Source organism: Homo sapiens, chromosome 2 (genome assembly GCF_000001405.40).
Source record: "Homo sapiens chromosome 2, GRCh38.p14 Primary Assembly".
NCBI lineage: Eukaryota > Metazoa > Chordata > Mammalia > Primates > Hominidae > Homo > Homo sapiens.
The window spans coordinates 207,577,068-207,596,115 of record NC_000002.12 but is presented as its reverse complement, the minus strand read 5'-3'; the positions used below and the strand labels follow the sequence as shown (position 1 = coordinate 207,596,115).

General features: G+C 37.2%; 2 protein-coding genes across 45 annotated transcripts in view; one reads left to right on the top strand and one right to left on the bottom strand.

Moving 5' to 3' along the window:
* Positions 1-15,481, top strand: part of METTL21A (methyltransferase 21A, HSPA lysine) — a 45,419-nt gene extending 29,938 nt beyond the window's left edge. For 11 of the 24 annotated variants that reach the window (NM_001330133.3, NM_001330135.2, NM_001393572.1 and 8 more), the window contains one exon: positions 13,956-15,481. In NM_001330133.3, coding sequence (NP_001317062.1) covers positions 13,956-13,969 — 14 coding nt within the window. In that variant the 3' untranslated portion in view covers positions 13,970-15,481. The remainder of the gene's footprint in view (positions 1-13,955) is intronic. The other 13 variants (XM_047443497.1, NM_001393567.1, NM_001308021.3 and 10 more) reach the window with 3 other exon arrangements.
* Positions 1-19,048, bottom strand: part of CREB1 (cAMP responsive element binding protein 1) — a 76,027-nt gene that overhangs the window by 9,873 nt on the left and 47,106 nt on the right. For 12 of the 21 annotated variants that reach the window (NR_135473.2, NR_163946.1, NR_163947.1 and 9 more), the window contains one exon: positions 18,461-18,611. Coding sequence is in view for 15 of the 21 variants with exons in the window: in NM_134442.5 (NP_604391.1) it covers positions 18,461-18,611 (151 nt within the window). In the remaining 6 variants the exon portion in view is untranslated. Of the gene's footprint in view, positions 1-6,867; positions 6,954-11,868; positions 16,596-18,460; positions 18,612-18,891; positions 19,007-19,048 lie in introns of those variants that run through there. The other 9 variants (XM_011510646.4, XM_047443437.1, XM_047443436.1 and 6 more) reach the window with 5 other exon arrangements.

Below are 19,048 nucleotides of genomic sequence, written 5' to 3'. Positions count from 1 at the left end.
ACCTAACCGTAAGACCTAAAACTATAAAACTTCTAGAAGAAAACACTCTCTGACATTGGATTTGGCAGTAATATCTTAAATACAACACCAAAAGCAGAGGTAACAAAAGCAAAAATAGACAAATAGGACTATATCCAACTAAAAAACTTCTGCACATCGAAAGACAATAAATAGTGAAAAGGCAACCTACAGAATGAGAAGAAATATCTGCAAATCATATATCTGCTAAGGGGTTAAGATCTAGAATAGGCAAGGTGTATGGCTCACGCCTATAATCCCAGCACTTTGGGAGGCTGAGGTGGGAGAATCTCTTGAACCCATGTGTTCAAGAACAGCCTGGGCAATATATTAAGACCCTGTCTCTAAAAAAAAATTTTTAAAAATTTAGCCAAGTGTGGTGGCACATGCCTGTAGTCCCAGCTGCTCAGGAAGCTGAGGTGGGAGGACTGCTTAAGCCCAGGAGGTCTTAGGTTGCAGTGAGCCGTGATCCTGCCACCTGCATTCCAACCTGGGTGACAAACCAAGAACCTGTCTCAATTAAAAATTAGTTAGGTGGTGTGTGCGTGTAGTCTCAGCTACTCAGGAAGCTGAGGTTGGAGGCCGGGAGGTCGAGGCTGCAGTGAGCCATGATCATGCCACTATACCACAGCTTGGGAGACAGCAAGATGCTGTCTCAAAAGAAAGGGAAAAAAAAAATCTAGAATATATAAAGAACTTTTGAACTCAACAGCAAAATAACCCAATTTAAAAAATGGGCATAGGGACTTGAACAGAGATTTCTCCAGAGATATATAAATGGCCTATAAAAAGATGCTCAATATAGGCTGGGTGCGGTGGCTCATGCCTGTAATCCCAGCACTTTGGGAGGCAGAGGCGGGTGGATCATGAGGTCAGGAGTTCAAGACCAGCCTGGCCAACATGGTGAAACTCCATCTCTATTAAAAATACAAAAATTAGCCAGGTATGGTGGTGGGTGCCTGTAGTCCCAGCTACTCAGGAGGCTGAGGCAGGAGAATCACTTAAACCCGGGAGGCAGAGGTTGCAGTAAGCCGAGATTGCACCACGGCACTCTACCTAGGCAACAGAGCGAGCCTCCATCTCAGAAAAAAAAAAAAAAAAAAAAAGATGCTCAACATCACTAATCACTAGGGAAATGCAAATCAAAACCACTAGGTATCACCTCACAACCATTAGGATGGCTACTATCAAAAAACCACCACCAGCAGAAAATACCCATTGTTGATGAGGATGTGAGGAAACTGGAACTCTTGTGTACTGTTGGTAGGAATGTAAAATGGTGCAGCTGCTATGGAAAATGGAATGGAGGTTCCTCAAAAAATTAAGAACAAAATTTACCATATGATCCAGCAATCCCACTTTTTGCTACAGATCCAAAAGAACTGAAATCAGGGTATTGAAGAGATATCTGAACACTCATGTTCATTGCAGCATTATTCACAATAGCCAAGAGGTGGAAGCAGCCCAAATGTCCATCAGCAGATGAGTGGTAAGCAAAATGTGGTATATACATACAATGTAATATTAATATTATTCAGCCTTAGGAAGGCCCTCTGCATGCCAAAACGTAGATGAACCTTGAGGGCATTATGCTGACACAAGCTAGTCTCAAAAAGACAAATATTGTGTAATTTCTCTTATGAGGCATCTAAAGTCAATCAAATTCATAGAAACAGGACTTACATTAGTGGCTGCCAGGGGCTGGGGGAACGAGGAAATGGGGAGTTGTTGTTTACCGGGTACAGAGTTTCAATTTTGCAAGATGAACAAGTTCTGGAAATCTACTGCACCACAATATGAATGTACTTAACATGACTGAACTGAATACTTAAAACTCATTAAGATGGTCAATTTTGTTATATTTTTTACCACAATTAAAAATGAAATTATTTAAAAAAATCTAACACAGATTAAAAATAATTAAAAATTATTCTTTAGCAAGCTGCTCAATCTAAACCAGTAAATTCTTTTTTAGCTCTGTGTGGTCAAGGGCCACAATCTTATTACTTAACCTTAATTTCCTGACTGTAAAAAAGGACATGGTAATATTTTCTACCTCAAAAGGTTTGTGAGGGCTGGTGTGGTGGCTCACCCCTGTAATCCCAGGTCCCAGCGCTTTGGGAGGCTGAGGCAGGCAGATCACTTGAGGCCAGGAGTTTGAGACCAGCCTGGCCAACATGGCGAAACTCTGTCTCTACTAAAAATACAAAAATTAGCTGGGGATGGTGGCAGGTGCCTGTAATCCCAGCTACTTGGGAGGCTGAGGTAGGAAAATCGCTTGAACCCAGGAGGCAGAGATTGCAGTGAGCCAAGATAGCGCCACTGCACTCCAGCCTGGGTGATAGGTGTTTCCGTCTCAAAAAAAAAAAAAAAAAAAAGTTTGTGAGGATCAAATGAGTTAATATATGTAAAGCACACAATATAGTGCCTAGCATGTTGAAGATGTGTTAGCTATTATTATTTTTAGGTAACTCCAAATGGCAGTACATTGTAATTCCATTGATGTCTTCATCCTCATGTAACTATCAATTCAGAAAAAAGTAGCATTTGCTTCTATTTTTCATTTTTGAGATGGGGTCTTGCTCTGCTGCCCAGGCTGGAGTGCAGTGGCACAATGAGGGCTCACTGCAGCCTTGACCTCCCAGGCTCAAGTGATCTTCCTGCCTCAACCTCCCCAGCAGCTGGGACCATAGGCATGCACCACCATGCCCAGCTAATTTATTTTATTATTTTTTGTAGAGACAGTGTCTTCCTATGTTTTCCAAACAGGTCTTGAATTCCTGGGCTCAAGCTATCCTCCTGCCTCAGCCTCCCAAAGTGCTGGGATTACAGGCATGAGCCACCGCACCCAGCCTTGATACAAATTTTAAGTATGACTAACATGTTAAAGGCTCTAATAGGAATGGTGGATAACATGTAAGATCAGATGGGTTATTTCAGCAGTGGCATGGAAATTATGAAAAGGAATCAAATGGAAATGGAGATAAAGAATATGTTTGATGTTCTGGTAAGTAAAACTGACACAGCTGAGGAAACAATCAGTGAACTTGAAGACAGAACAACAAAAAGCTGTGTGACCGTCTCCAACATCCTAACATATTTATAACTGTAATCTCAGAAGAAGAGGGAGGACAGGACGGAAAAATATTTGAAGAAAGTATATCTGAGAATTTTCTTTTCTTTTTTGAGATGGAGTCTTGCTCTGTCGCCAGGCTGGAGTGCAGTGGTGCAATCTGGACTCACTGCAACCTCCACCTCCCAGGTTCAAGCAATTCCCTTGCCTCAGCCTCAGCTGGGACTACAGGCATGCGCCACCATGGCCAGCTAATTTTTTGTATTTTAGTAGAGACGGGGTTTCACCATGTTGGCCAGGATGTTCTCAATCTCCTGACCTCGTGATCCGCCTGCCTTGGTCTCCCAAAGTGCTGGGATTACATGCGTGAGCCACTGCACCTGGCCAAGAATTTTCTAAAATTAATGACAGACACCAAGCCACAGACACAAGAAGAATAAGATAAATATGGTGGGGATGGGGGAGGAAGGAGGGAAGAGAGGGAAAATCCCTAGGCATATTATATTTGAATTGCTGCAAATCAGAGGCAGAGGAAGAAAAGGAGCATTATATACACACAGATTTCTTGTCAGAAACCATTTAAATCATAAGAAAAAAAGTGACATCTTTTTTTATTTTTTGAGATGGAGTCTTGCTCTGTTGCCAGGCTGGAGTGCAGTGGCGTGATCTGGGCTACTGCAACCTCTGCCTCCCGGGTTTAAGTGATTTTCCTGCCTCAGCCTCCCGAGTAGCTGGGACTACAGGCGTGTGCCACCACGCCCAGCTCATTTTTTGTATTTTTAGTAGAGAGAGGGTTTCACCATGTTGGCCAGGATGGTCTCAAACTCCAGACCTTGTGATCCGCCTACCTCAGCCTTAAGTGACATCTTTAAAGTCTGTCACTTCAAAGAAAAAAATGATAAACCCAGAATTCTATACCCAGCAAAAATATCTTTCAAATATGATGATGAAATAAACTTTTTCAAACAAAACTAGAGGGAATTCATTGCCAGAAGATCTATTTTCTAAGAAATGTAAAAAAGAGTTTTTGAGGCAGAAATATAATAGATTAAAACATGGATTTATATAAGGAAATGAAGACAATTGAAAATTAAATATATAAATGTAAAATTAAAAATTTCTACTTGTGCCATAGTTTGCCAATCCCTGATCTAAACCATTTAAAAGGCATGTAGCTCAGTAAAAAAGGAAGACCTAAGTATATGCCATCTACAAGAATCCCACTTCAAATATAAACAGAGAAGAAAAAGGATGGAGAAGGATATATATTATGCAAATACTAATCAAAAGGAGGCTGGGAATGGTGGTTCACGCCTGTAATCCCAGCACTTTGGGAGGCTGAGGTGAGCGGATAACTTGAGGTCAGGAGTTTGAGACCAGCCTGGCCAACATGGCGAAACCCCGTCTCTACTAAAAATACAAAAATTAGCTGGGTGTGGTGGCGCACACCTGTAATCCTAGCTATTTTGGAAGCTGAGGCACGAGAATCACTTGAATCAGGGAGGTGGAGGTTGCAGTGAGCCAAGATTGTGCCACTGCCATTGCACTCCAGCCTGGGCAACAGAGCAAGATTCTGTCTCAACAAACAAAAACAAAACAAACCAACTGGGGTAGTTTTATTAGTATCAGACAAAGCATTCTTCTGAAGAAGGAATATTGTCAGGGATAAAGAAAGACATTATATAATAATAAAGAGGTCTATCCTCTAAGAAGACATAATTCTAAATGGAAGATGTAATTCTCCTGTATGAGGCAAAAGCTAATAGAACTGAAAGGAGAAATGAACAAAGGGATGAATGCCTTAATACACTCTCCTGTCAGTGATGATAGACTAAGTAGAGTCTCAGAGATGACAGAATAAGTAGAAAATTAAAAATGATACAGTACACCTGAATGACATAATCAACTACACCTATCTGACATTGATATGATACTTGATAATTTAAGAGAATAAAAATAATACAAAGTATGTTCTTGGGCCATAAAACACCTGGGAAGATCCTCGATTATTTGGAAATTGAATATTAAACATTTCTAAGTCTATAGGTCAAAAAAGAAGTCTCAAAGGAAATAAAAAAATTTTTAAACTGAATGCAAATAAAAATGACAACCCAAAATTTGTGGGACACAGCTAAACCAATGCTAAAATGGAAATTTACAGCCTTAAATACTTATGTTAGAAAAAAAGGGCTTAAATCAATTATTTATATCAAGGGTTGCCAAACTTTGCTTCCCTGCTTGTTTTTGTAAATAAAGTTTTACTGGAACACAGTCAGTATTATCCATCGCTGCTTTGGTATTACAACGGCAGAGTTGAGTAGTTGTGACAGATCATTTGGTCTGCAAAGCCTGAAATATTTACTATCTGGCCCTTTACAAAAGATTTGCCAAACTGATCCAACTATTGTCTTAAGAAACTAGATACCTGCAGAAGTTTTCTTAGAAACTGAAATAAGACAAAGGTATATATTAATAGGAAAAAATTTACAGTTAATGAAAAAAGAAACTAGAAAGAGAACAACTAAAAAAACCAAAGCAAGCAGGAGAAAATAACAAAGATCAGAGTACAAATCAATACAATTCTAAGGAGAAAACTAATGAAACTAAGAATTTTGGTTGCTTAAAAACAATCAACAAAATTGATAAACCTTTAGCCAGACTTAAAAAAAAAGGAGGGTGGCTGGGGTAGGGGTGGCGAATACAGAGAGAGAGGAAAGACAAAAATTAACAATATTAGGAATGAAGCGGGGGGACATCCCTACTGACATCCCATACAGTAAAAGAATAATAAACTAACACTACAAACAACTCTATGGTCATGAATTTGATAACTTTGAAGAAATGGACCAATGTCTTAAAAACACAAACTTCCAAAACTCACTGAAGAAGAAATAGTCTGAATGATCCCGTATCTATTAAAAAAAAAAAAAAAAAAAAAAAACTTCTCAAAATAGAAAACTCCAGGCCTATGTGGGTTCACTGGCAAATTCTACCAACCATATAAGGCTTAAATAATACAAATATTATAATCTCTTCCAGAAAAAGAGAAGGGAAGGGAAGACTTCCACCTCATTTATAAGGTCAGCATTACCCTAATAACAAACTCACGGCAAAGAAACTAAAATCCCATATTAGCCATAAACGTAGACATAAAAATCCTCAACAAAATATTAGCAAATTGAATCCAGCAATGTATAAATGATACTTCATGACCAATTGGGGGTTCATCCCAGGAATGCATGCATATCTCAAAATTGGAGTATGAATGTAATTCACTCTAATAACAGACCAAATAAGAGAAACAACACGATCACCTCAGTAGATTCTGGAAAAGCATTTGACAAGATTAAACAACAATTTATGATGAAAACTCTCAGAAACTAAAAATCAAAGAGAGTTTTTAAAAAAATGTAATGAAGAGCTTTTTACAGAGACCCTACAGCTATTACATTACTTAAGGTCCCCCAAAGGTGTCCATGTACTAATCTCTGCAGTGTGTGAGTATGTTACCTTATATGGCAAAGGGGAATTAGGTTGCAGATGGAATTAAGGTTGTTAATTAGCTGACCTTAAAATAGGAAAATTATCTTGGGTTACTTGAGTGGGCCCAGTTAAACCACAAGCATTCTTAAAAGTAGAACAGGAAAGCAGAAGAAAATGTGACTGCAGAAGGGGAACAGAGATAACACTATGTTGAAGATGGAGAAAGGGGGCCATGAGGCAAAAAATGTGGGTGGCCTCTAGAAGCTAGAAATGGCAAAGAAACACATTTTCACCTAGAACCTCCAGGAAGGAATGCAGTCCTGCTGACACCTTCATTTTAGCCCAGTGAGATCCAATGAAGGCCTCTGATCTTATAGAACTGGAAAACAATACATTTGTGTTGTTTAAGCCAGTAAGTTTGTGGCAGTTTGTGACATGCAGCAATAGAAAACTAATACACCCCCTAAGATCAAGAATAGGGCAAAGATGTCCTCTCTCACCACTCCTATTCAACATCATAGCACAAGTCCTAGACATTGCAATAAGGAAAAAAAATTAAAAGGCATGCAGATTAGAAATAATTAAAACTGTCCATATTTGTAGGTGACATGATAATTTGTGTAGAGAATCCCAAAGAATCTACACCCCCCCCGACAAAGCTCCTAGAACTAATAAGTAAATTTAGAATGGTCATAGGATAAAAGGTAAATATACAGAAGCCAATTTTATTTCCATATACCAGCAATGAACAATTGAATATACCATTTCAAATAGCACATGTCCCCCCACCCCCACACACAAAAAAAAAAAAAACCAGAAAACAGTTCATACTTGGGTATAAATCCAGTAAGATATGTACAGGATCTATGTGCTGATTAGATTATATTGTGTTCATGGAATCAAAAACTAAGTATTGCTAAGATGTGACTTCTTCACAATTTGATCTATAGACACAACACAATCCTAACTAAAATTCTAGCACACTTTCCGTAGACATCAACAAGCGGATTATAAAATATACATTAAAGTGCAAAGGAACCAGAATAGCCAAACAATTTTAAGAACAAAGTTGGAGGACTCACATTATCAAATTCAAGACTTATTATACAGAACTCAAGGCAACATGGTATTGGCTAAAGGACAGACACAAAGATCAATGGAAAGATATCCAAGAAACAGACTCACACAAATATGGTCAATTAATTTTTGAAAAAAAGAGCAAGGGCAATTCAATAGAGAAAGAATAGTCTTTTCAACAAATGGTCTGGAACAAATGGATGTTCCTATATAAAAAAATGGATCTCGACACATCCTCACACCTTATACAAAAGTAAACTCAGGAGGGAATTATAGATCTAAATATAAAACTCTAACATAAAACATAACACTTTTAGAGGAAAACGAAGTCTGTGTGATATTGATTTAGGCAAAGAATTCTTTTTTCCTTTTTATTTTTAGTTGACATAAAATAACTGTAGACATTTATGAGATGCAGTAATATTCTAATATGTGTATACAGTATGTAATGATCAAATTATGGTAACTAGCATATCCATCACCTCAAACTTATCATTTTGTTGGGTTGTGAACATTCAAAATCCTCACTTCTAGCTTTGTGAAAATACACAAGTTGTATTTAACCATATTCACCCTATGGTGCTACAGAACACCAGAAATCATTCTACCAACCTAGATGTAAGTTTGTGTCCATTAACCAACCTCTCCCCATGCTCCCTATCTCACCTTCCCTTCCCAGGCTCTAATACCCACAATTTTACTCTCTACTTCCATAAGCTCAAAAAATTTTTAGCTCCCACATGAGTGAGAACATGTGGTATTTATCTTTCCATGTTTGAGTTATTTTGCATAACCCATAATGTCCCCCAAGTTCATCCACATGGCCACAAATGATGTATTTTCATTCTTTTTAGTGGCTTGACAGTATACCACTGTGTATATATACTGCAATTTTCTTTATCCATTCATATGTTGATGGATATTTAGGTTGATTCCCTATCTTAGCTACTGTGAAGTGATGCAATACTGGTTTCCTTTCTTTTGAATAGATACCCAGTAGTAGGATTGCTAGATCATATAGTGGTTCTTTTATTTTTTGTGTGTTTTTTTCTTTTTCCTTTTTTTTTTTTTTGAGATGGAGTCTCGTTCCGTCACCCAGGCTGTAGTGCGGTGGTGCGATCTCGGCTCACTGCAAGCTCTGCCTTCCGGGTTCACGCCATTCTCCTGCCTCAGCCTCCCGAGTAGCTGGGACTACAGGCACCCGCCACCATGCCTGGCTGAATTTTTGGATTTTTAGTAAAGAAGGAGTTTCACCGTGTTAGCCAGGATGGTCTCGATCTCCTGACCTTGTGATCCACCCGCCTTGGCCTCCCAAAGTGCTGGGATTACAGGCGTGAGCCACCACGCCTGGCCCTTTTAGTTTTTTTGAGAAACCTCCACACCGTTTTCCGTAATGGCTGCATTAATGTACATTCTCATCAACACTGAGACAATTCTAACACAAAGAGTTAGAAAGAGTTCACCTTTCTCTGCATCATCAGTGTTTACTTCTTGTCTTTTTGATTATAGCCATTCTAACTAATGATACTTCCTAACACAAAGAGGAAGAGTTCACCTTTCTCTGCATCCTCATCAGTTTGTTACTTCTTGTCTTTTTGATAATAACCATTCTATCTAATGATACTTCATTGTGGTTTTAATCTGACAATTAGTAATGTTGAGCTTTTCAAATATATTTCTTGGCCATTTGTATGTCTTCTTTTGAGAAATGTCTATTCAGACCTTTTGTCCACTTTTTAATAGGATTTTTGTTTGTTTTCCTGTTCGGTTGAGTTCCTTATATATCCTGGTTATCAGTCCCTTGTCAGATGAACAGTTTGTAAATATTCCTCCCATTCTGCAGGTTGTCTCTTCACTCTGTTTCCTTTGCTGTTCAGAAGCTTTTTAGTTTAATATTTCCACTTAACTATTTTTCTTTTTGTTGCTTGTGCTTTTGGAGTCTTAGCCATGAAGTTTTTGCCAAGTCTAATGTCAGGAAGCATTTCCCCCATGTTTTCTTCTAGTAGTCTAAGAGTTTGGGGTCTTATGTTTAAGTATTTAATCCACTTGGAGTGGATTTTTGGGTATGGTGATAGGTATCTAGTTTCATTCTCTGCACACAGATATCCAGGTTTCCCAATACCATTGATTGAAGAGAGTGTCCTTTCCCCAATGTATGTTCTTGGCACATTTGCTGTAAATAAGTAGATTTATTCTGTGTTCTTTATTCTGTTCCACTGGTCTATGTGTTTTTATATCAATACTATGTTTTGGTTACTATAGCTTTGTAGTATATTTTGAAGTCAGGTAGTGTGATGCCTTCCATGTTGTTCTTTTAGTTCAGGAATGCTTTGGCTATTTGGGCTGTTTTTGGTTCCATAAGAATTTTTTCTTTGTTTTTGACTTTTGAGTTTGAAAATAGTGTGTCTTAGAAAGGCCTTTTTGGATAAACTGTTTTAGTACATATGACCTTCCTGTATCTGGATATATATCTCTCTCTCAAGACATGGGAGGTCTTCAGTGATTATTTTGTTAAATAGGTTTTCTATGCCTTTTCCTATATTTTCTCCTTGTGGCACTCCCAAAATTGAAATATTTGTTTGCTTTATGATGTCCTATGTAGGCTTTCTTCATCCTTTTTAGTGTGTGTTTGACTGGGTTATTTTAAAAGACCTCTCTCTTAAAGTTCAGAAATTCTTTCTGCTCGACTGTTTTTTATTTATTAAATTCTTCAGTTCCAGAATTTGTTTCTTTAACTATTTACCTCTTTAATTTCTCATTCAGATCATGAATTGTTTTCCTGATTTATTTGTATTGTCTATCTGTGTTCTGTTGTTTCTTGCTGAGTTTTCTTAAGATCATTATTTTCAATTCCTTTTCAGGCATTTTATTGATTACCTGGTTCTTTGAGATCTGTTAGTGGAAAATTATTGTGTTCCTTTGGAGGTATCGTGTTTCCTCAGTATTTTATGTTTCTTGTGTCCTTATCTTGATATCTGTGCAACTGCTGCTTTATCCAATTTTATGGACTGGCTTTTGTAGAGAAAGACTTTTACTGTAGATGTAGCTGTAGTGTTAGCTGGGTAGGGTGCTCTGGATTTGATTCTAGGTGGGTTCAGATGTGTTGTCTCTGTATGATTTCTTTTACTGTCATCAATGGTGGTATCTATGATTCTCTCATGGCATCTATGATTTCTTCAGTGGCTTAGGCTTCGGTTGTCAGTGGAGGCTGTGATAAAGCTTTGCTGAGGATGGGGACATCAGGTTGGCTGGTATGTGGACACAAAGGCCTTTACGGTGGCAGCAGGCCAGGCAGGCCTATCTGCAGGCCTCTGGGTGGCCAATGTGATAGTGAGAGCGAGCTGGCCTTCATGATTCCAGACAGTGGGTGCTGGTGGGCAGGACCAACCAATCCTCAGGCACCCTAGATGATGTATGTGGACACCAATGGGCCTGTCCATAGGCTCCTAGACGTGTGTAAGTGGGCTGGGCCTATCCAGGCAGAAAATTCATAAATACCACAAGCATGATGTACAAAAGGACACAACTGATAAAATGGGCCTCATCAAAATGGCAACCTTTTGCTCTGCAAAAGATAGATAATGTTAAGAAAATTAAAGAAAAAGCTGCAGACTGAAAGAAAATACTTGCTCTGACAAAGGATTTGGAAAAAAGGTCTCTGAAAACAAAAGAAAACAAACAATAGAAATGACTAAAAGATCTAAATAGACATTTCATCAAAGAAAACATATAGATAGCAAATCACATAAAAGTCACTAATGAAGGCTGGGCACAGTAGCTCACACCTGTAATCCCAGCATTTTGGGAGGCCGAGGTGGGTGGATCATCTGAGGTCAGGAGTTCAAAACCAGCCTGGCCAACATGGCGAAACCCTGTCTCTACTAAAAATACAAAAAATCAGACGTGGTGGCAGGTGCCTGTAATCCTGACTACTCAGGGAGGCTGAGGCACGAGAATCTCTTGAACCCAGGAGGCAGAGGTTACAGTGAGCCGACATGGTGCCACTGCACTCCAGCCTGGGTGACATGACAGAGGGAGACTCCGTCTCAAAAAAAAAAAGTCACTAGTGAAGTGCAAGTTAAAACCATAAGATATCCATTATACCAGTTCTAGAGCTGGGGGACAAACAATAAACCTGACAATGTCAAGTTTTGGCAAGGATACAAAGCAACTGAACTCTCATACATTCCTGGTGGGAATATAAAATGGTACAGCCATTTTGGAAAACAATTGGACAGTTTATTTAAAAAGTTAAATATACAGTTAGTTACATTTCATGCAACCAGCCTACTCCTAGATATTTACTCATGTTAATGGAAAGTTCATATAAAAACCTTTATGTGTTGATAGTAACTTTATTTCTCTAAAACTGGAAATAACTGGGATGAAATTCAAAGTGAATAAACAAAGCACAGTATATCTATAAAATGGAATTATCTGGGATAAGTCCCAACTACTGATTCATGCAACAAAATCAATAAATCTTAAATGCATTTTGCTAGATGAAGGAACCAGATCTAAAAGGCTACAAATTATAATTTAAGATACCATTTATAAGAGATTATGGAATAGGCAGAACTATAAGGGTAGAAAACAGTTCATTGGTTTTCAGGGCGTGGGGGAAGCTGACTTCAAAGGGATATAAGAGAATACTTAGTATTATATAACTGTTAGTTAACTAGTATAATTGTTCCATATGGCATTGTGGTGACAGATACATGACACTGCATCTATCAAAACCCATAAAACTATACAGCACAAAGAGTGAACTTATGTATATGCAAATTTAAGGATAAAAACTTAGGGATGTCAGAAAATCCCAGACTGAAGATTGTGACAAATCTAACTGTACTACAATCATATGATATAACCTCATTGAAAGGGGTGGAGAAAGGAGCAGAGTGAAGTAACTTTAGAAAACAGCACTTTTGCTAAATACTATTAGGCCAAAAACAAAAAGAAGTGTATATAAATACTGCACTGTAACTGGTAATCCTGTTTCTCACAATGGTACATATTATCAATTCTTACAAGTTTTCTGTATGTATAGTAGATTTAAACAAACATATAAGCCAAGTTTCTGTCGGAGAAAGAAGTTACAAACAGGCAAAGAGAAGTCTAAAATGAGCCACGTGGTTAAAGCTTAGAGTCAGATATGTTAGTGTGTATTCCTATTTAAGTATATAGTTGTCCCTCAGTATCTGTGGGGGATTGGTCCCAGGAACTCTCATGAGTATCAAAATCCACAGATGCTCAAGTCCCTTATATAAAATGGCATTATATTTGCATATAACCTATATGAATCCCCCTATATACTTAAAATCACCTCTAGATTACTTATAATATTTAATACAATGTAAATACTATGTAAATAGTTGTTATACTAGGTTACTTTTTTATTTGTATTATTTAAAAAATTGTTATATTGTTACTTTTTTTCTTGAATGTGGGCTATGGAAAACAGAGCCAACTATATATAAAGATACAGAAATAAGAATGTGTGCATATATGAAGGTGTATGTGTGTGTGTATGTATATATATATATTTTTTTTTGTTTGTTTGTTTGTTTTTTTGAGACAGAGTCTCACTCTGTCACTCAGGCTGGAGTAGTAGTGCCATCTCAGCTCACTGCAACTTCCACCTCCCAGGTTCGCACAATTCTTCTGCCTCAGCCGCCTGAGTAGCTGGGATTACAAGCGTGCACCACCACCCCGGCTAAATTTTCTCTTTTTAGTAGAGAGAGGGTTTCACCATATTGGCCACCATTTTCTAATAAAGGAACTAGAGATCATTGGAAAAACAGCTCATTCCAAGGCTAGGGAAGGGAAAACACAAGATGAGAACCTGGACAATCTTGTAGTCTCAGAAAGTAAAGATGTGCTTAAAAAGAAAAAAATGGGGCATGTCAAAAGGACACAGAAGACACTTATAAAAGATCCCAGTAGCCAAAGCTAGAACAATATGAACAACATAATAAATAACAATAGTATTGGATTATAACTCCCAAAGTATGTGTCTGTATTGATAAAATAAATAATGTGGAGAAGAAACAAATCTTGTTTATAGAATTCAGTTGTTAAATATATTAGAAGGGATGGAGATATACAAAATTCCCATTAGAATAGCAAATAGTAATAATTACTGTAGACAAGATTTACTGATGAATTCTAAAACTGGTGGGCAAAACTTTAAAGAGAAAAGAATATATCTGCATAGCCTCCAAGTACTTCTTCTAAAATACACCTAATTACTGTGGTGGTTTTAACATATGACCACAAATTTCTTTCATATTCTCCCTTTTAGGAGGTGGAATTTAATTCTCCTCCCCTTGAATATGGGCTGGACAAAGAGAAAAATGGTAGCTCAACAGTGGAGACACCTGGACAGCACTTTAACCAAGTGATCAAAGTTAATATCGCCAATTATGTATGTGCTCCCGGATGTGATGTTATGAGAAAGGCACACTATACCTCTGTGGAATTCCTCCCCAAAACCTATTATCTCAATCTATCCATAGAAAACACTGGACAAATGCAAACTGAGGGATATTCTAAAAGAAAACAGATCACTACTCTTCAAAAGTTACAAGGCCATCAAAGACAAGGAAACAAACTTTCACAGACTGAAGGAGACTATAATTAAATGCGATATGGTACCCAAACTGGATTATGTAAGTAAAAAAACTGGGGAAATAAAATGTATAATTCAGTTAATGGTATTATACCAATGTACTTTTATTTTTGATAAATGTACCCTGGTTATGTAATATACTAAGATTAGAGAAAGCTGGATGAAGGGTATCCGGAACTCTGTATTTTTAAAACTCCTTTGTAAGTTTAAAATTACTTAAAAATATATTAAAAATGTATATTTACCTTTGTACTGGTTTGAGTAAAAAAACTGACTTTAGAATGTTAACATTTTAGATGGTGAAATTAGAAGTAATTCAATTTTTAGGTAATGTTTCTTAATTTACTTATAATGAACATGTTTTACTTGTGTAATAATAAATTTAAAAAACCTGATAGTAATGTAAATACTCTTTGGTAACCTGCTTTTGTCCGAGAACATCTTCCCATCTTAATAAAAATACACCTTTATTTACTCTTAATGGCTAGTTGTATATAGTTGAATGGATATATTTTAATTCATATCAAATACATTTTAATTTTTTTAGAATTTTTCAAATTTTTTACCCTATCCATTTTCTAAGAATCTGCCTATTTATATCCCTCAACTCATTAGTCTTCTGACATTATTTGTTAAAATGTTTGCTACTTTATCTTTTACTTTCCTAAATAGGGGGTTTATAGTTTTATATGGTCAAATCCATTTAACCTTTTCCTTTGTTACTTCTGCCTTTAGGGAATCTGCTTTTAAAATCCCCCTACAATGTAAAGTTACATAAAGGCAAAGGTGATAGATTGTATTACTTTCACAATTTTTCACTCTCCACTTCCTGTAGGAAGAGTTCATTCCCACTCCACTGACTTTGGGCTTGTCCTTGCCTGTGCTGTGGCTAACAGATCACGAGTAGATGTAACGTTCACCAAAATCAAGCAAATGCTTTCAAAAGCATTGCCCTTTTCTCAAAGACGTGCTGCTCTATCTAGCCCAGGATCCTAGACCCAGATGGGCACATGAAGGAGAGCCACAGCAACTGACCTGCAGCTGCCAAAATGTAACAGAAGTGAGGAAGAAATTTTAAGACACTGAGATTCGTGGTTGTTACTGTAGCAACACAAATTAACAGAAGAGCTGTCTACACTTTCTTTTAGAATGTTTACCACTTACCTTCATCTTGAAATAAATGGCAATTTGGATAGTGATGAATTTTTTGGATTACAATCTTTTCCTATCAAACTTTAAGATAGGCTGTGTTTGATGTGCATAAGGGAAATTCATCCTAGTGAGCATGCTTAGGAGTGTGCTTCTCTTAACTTTTCCACTGAAATAGCCACACTAGAAGAGGAAACCAAATATGGAGACTCTGGGGGTGCAGCAAAACCACTGCTGGTATAAATTTCTTTTAAAACTCTTATTTTACCTTAAAAATAAGGTTTATTTCTCTCAAATATTTTAGCAAAATGAACATTCAAGGAAAGCACTCCACGTTCACCTCCTTAGGCTACACATCCCTAGCATACTGCCATGTGCTCTGGTTTGAGAGGCACAGCAGAAGATGGCTGCATACTGGAATCAGTGAAGTAGCATGTTTACAGGTTTTGGTGCCAGATATGGGTTCAAATTTCAGTTCTACTAATCTCATAAAGTGTGTGACCTTTGGCAAAATATTTGAATTTTCTGATATTTACCTTCTCCTCCTCTAAAGTGGGGATAAGCTTCTACCTCACTGTAGGTAGAATTAATAAAATAATATATACTGGAGCTTAATAAATAGCACTCGGCAGAAAGGTCAAAGCCAGAATATACAGAATTAAGAAGTATCAGCATATAAAGTAATGCCTGAAATACATGGGTATGGATGAAGGTTCAAAGGAAAAATTTGAAAAGTAGCCAGAAAACCAGGTGAAGTAAGCCAAGGAAGAGTTTAGAGTAATGAGAAGTCGAAAGTGTCAAATACTCCATAGAGTTAAAATTAAATGAAAGAAAATACTAGATTTGCCAAGTGGGAGGGAATTTGTACCTTTTTATAGACATATGAGCGGTATGCTAGTCATAGAAGCCAGATTCCAGTGAATGGAGGCTGAAAAAGTAAAAGCAGCAGTAATCTGGTAACAAAGGGGAAAAGGAACTATGGCAGAATCAATGAGAAGTTTCCTTTTTAAAGAGTAGGGTAACTATATCTAAGCAAAGTAATGTTATGAAAGAGTCCATGGTAAGTCGGGTAGTTTCCCTGAAGATCTCAGGCAAGCAAAGCCTGGTAGGAACTGTAGTTATGTGTGCCCTGTTCCTAACTTGTTGGTGGCAGTGGTCATAAATCTGAAAGAAAAATAAATAGAACAAAAAGGAAATTTGGTCTGCCAGTCAACGGGGGTAAACATTTTGTTCCACACAGCCAAACTACATAGACATAAACAGAAGTCCTTCTGTTGTTTTTTATAATCAAAAGGATTTATTTTTTGATTCTGCTCCTATGTTTGCTTTGAACTCTTTTCTTTAGTAAGCAGTGTTGTCTTAAATATTACTACTCAGCCTGTGCTTGAGACTTCTTGATCAGACTTGCTTCTAATTTTAAGTTAAAGGTTTCCTTATAAACATTTTTAAAAACTGAAAATATTTTAATTTTTATTTACAGATTTTAATTTATATTTTAAAATATATTTGAATTATGAATGCAGCTTTTATGCTTCTCTTTAGTAAAACTTAAATACTCAAAATCACAGATGGATGGAGCACAAATAAAAGTCACTTGAGGGCTGGGCACCATGGCTCATACCTGTAATCCCAGCACTTTGGAAGTCCGAGGAGGGTGGATCACAAGGTCAAGAGTTCGAGACCAGCCTGGCCAAAATAGTGAAATCATGTCTCTACTAATACAAAAATTAGCCAGGCGTGGTGGTGGGCACCTGTAATCCCAGCTACTCGGGAGGTTGAGGCAGGAGAATTGCTTGAACCCAGGAGGTGGAGGCTGCAGTGAGCTGAGATTGCACCATTGCACTCCTGCCTGGGTGACAGAGCAAGACTTCATCTCGGGAGAAAAAAAAAAAGTCACTTGGCTTGTTTCCAACTCTTTTTCTAATATCCCAGAAAAATCTCTGCCATTTCTCAGAGTTTAGATATAATTTACTAACATTGTGACAGCTAAGAATATTTTAGGAACAAAAAAGCTGATCTGAGCTGTGAAATTGCACACACACACACAAACCCATTTCAACAGAGCACTACAGTTACAAAGTGCTTTCAAAGGATTCTCTTACTTGACTCTTACAACAATACTTTGGGTGTGTGCTGGAATCCCATTTTACAAAACTGAGGTACAGAAGGTTAATACCTTCTCCCAAAATGGAGGGATAGGGCTAGGACTTGGAAGCCCTGCTTCTTTCACTTTATCAGTGTTTGAAGTATCCTGGGATGAACAGTGAGATACTTTCACTAATTTCAAACTTTTTAAACCTTTACATAACCTTATTTTCATTTTCTTTTGTTTGTCTCGGTCACTTCTATATGAAAGTTCTAAACCAATATTTAGTAACTTATTTTTATTGTTTTTGACGGCAAAATCATTTACAGCAATAAAGTTACTTTCTGAGAATTGCTTTACCAACATTTCACAGATTTTGAATGTAGTATTTTTTTGAAGACTATATTTTAAGATTTTTGTCCGTAACATGGTATTCTTAGAATTAACATATTTTTGAAGAATCTTTAGGTGTTAAAATGTTATTATTTTGAGTAAAGATATTATTCATTAAAACATGAACTGGCCACCATACATTTACTTTATATCAAGTAAATTTAATATAGATAAAATTTAACACACAGTTAATATACATATATGAAACTCTTGATCTTCTTGAACAATACTATACATGAAAAGAAACCATTTTTAAATAACCTGGCTAACTGGTTGGAGTGCAGACATAGGGAAGTTGTGCATTAAATCTCCTGTGGGGAAACTGCATGAAAGAAAACTACTCCACGATCAAAGATTGACCCATAATCATACAGCTATCTTATAAGTGCAGCTTATTAAATAAAGAAAATTTAGCAAGATCCATTAATTCTGCTGGAAAAAAAAAATTCAATGCAAAGATCCTATTACCAGTAGATGTAAAGATACACATCCAGCAGAATGTGAAGACACACTTAACACATAACAATCTAAGTAAATGCAGTATTTGTACCTGTTCTTCATTAGACGGACCTCTCTCTTTCGTGCTGCTTCTTCAGCAGGCTGTGTAGGAAGTGCTGGGGAGGATGCCATAACAACTCCAGGGGCAATAGTGCTAGTGGGTGCTGTGCGAATCTGGTATGTTTGTACGTCTCCAGAGGCAGCTGAAAAAAACAGTGAGCATGGTGTAAGACAGAAACATTGCAACTTGATTCAATTATGTGTATCAATCATCAATCTAAGCATGTATTTTGGACTAAAAGGGAAACAAAAAAGAAAAGATGATTCTGGCTAAAGCGTTGAAAGAATCAGCACTCTTCGCGCCACTACTAAGAAATAATTCCCAATGTAATGTATTTATTACAGTAACCTATGTCCGCTGGATCTTACATTTTATTTTTCATTTGAATGCAGTTCTATTCTGTTGTTAACATGCTTACCAACCTTAAGTCTAAAAGGTAAGTGGGGCACAGCTTGGATGATCTTCCTAGATAGAGTATAGTCCTCAGTGTCTTCCTTTGATATTGGTAAATTCATATTAAAAAATTTCAAGTAGACTCTTGCCACGACATAAAAACGACCATGATTTTTCATAAAATAG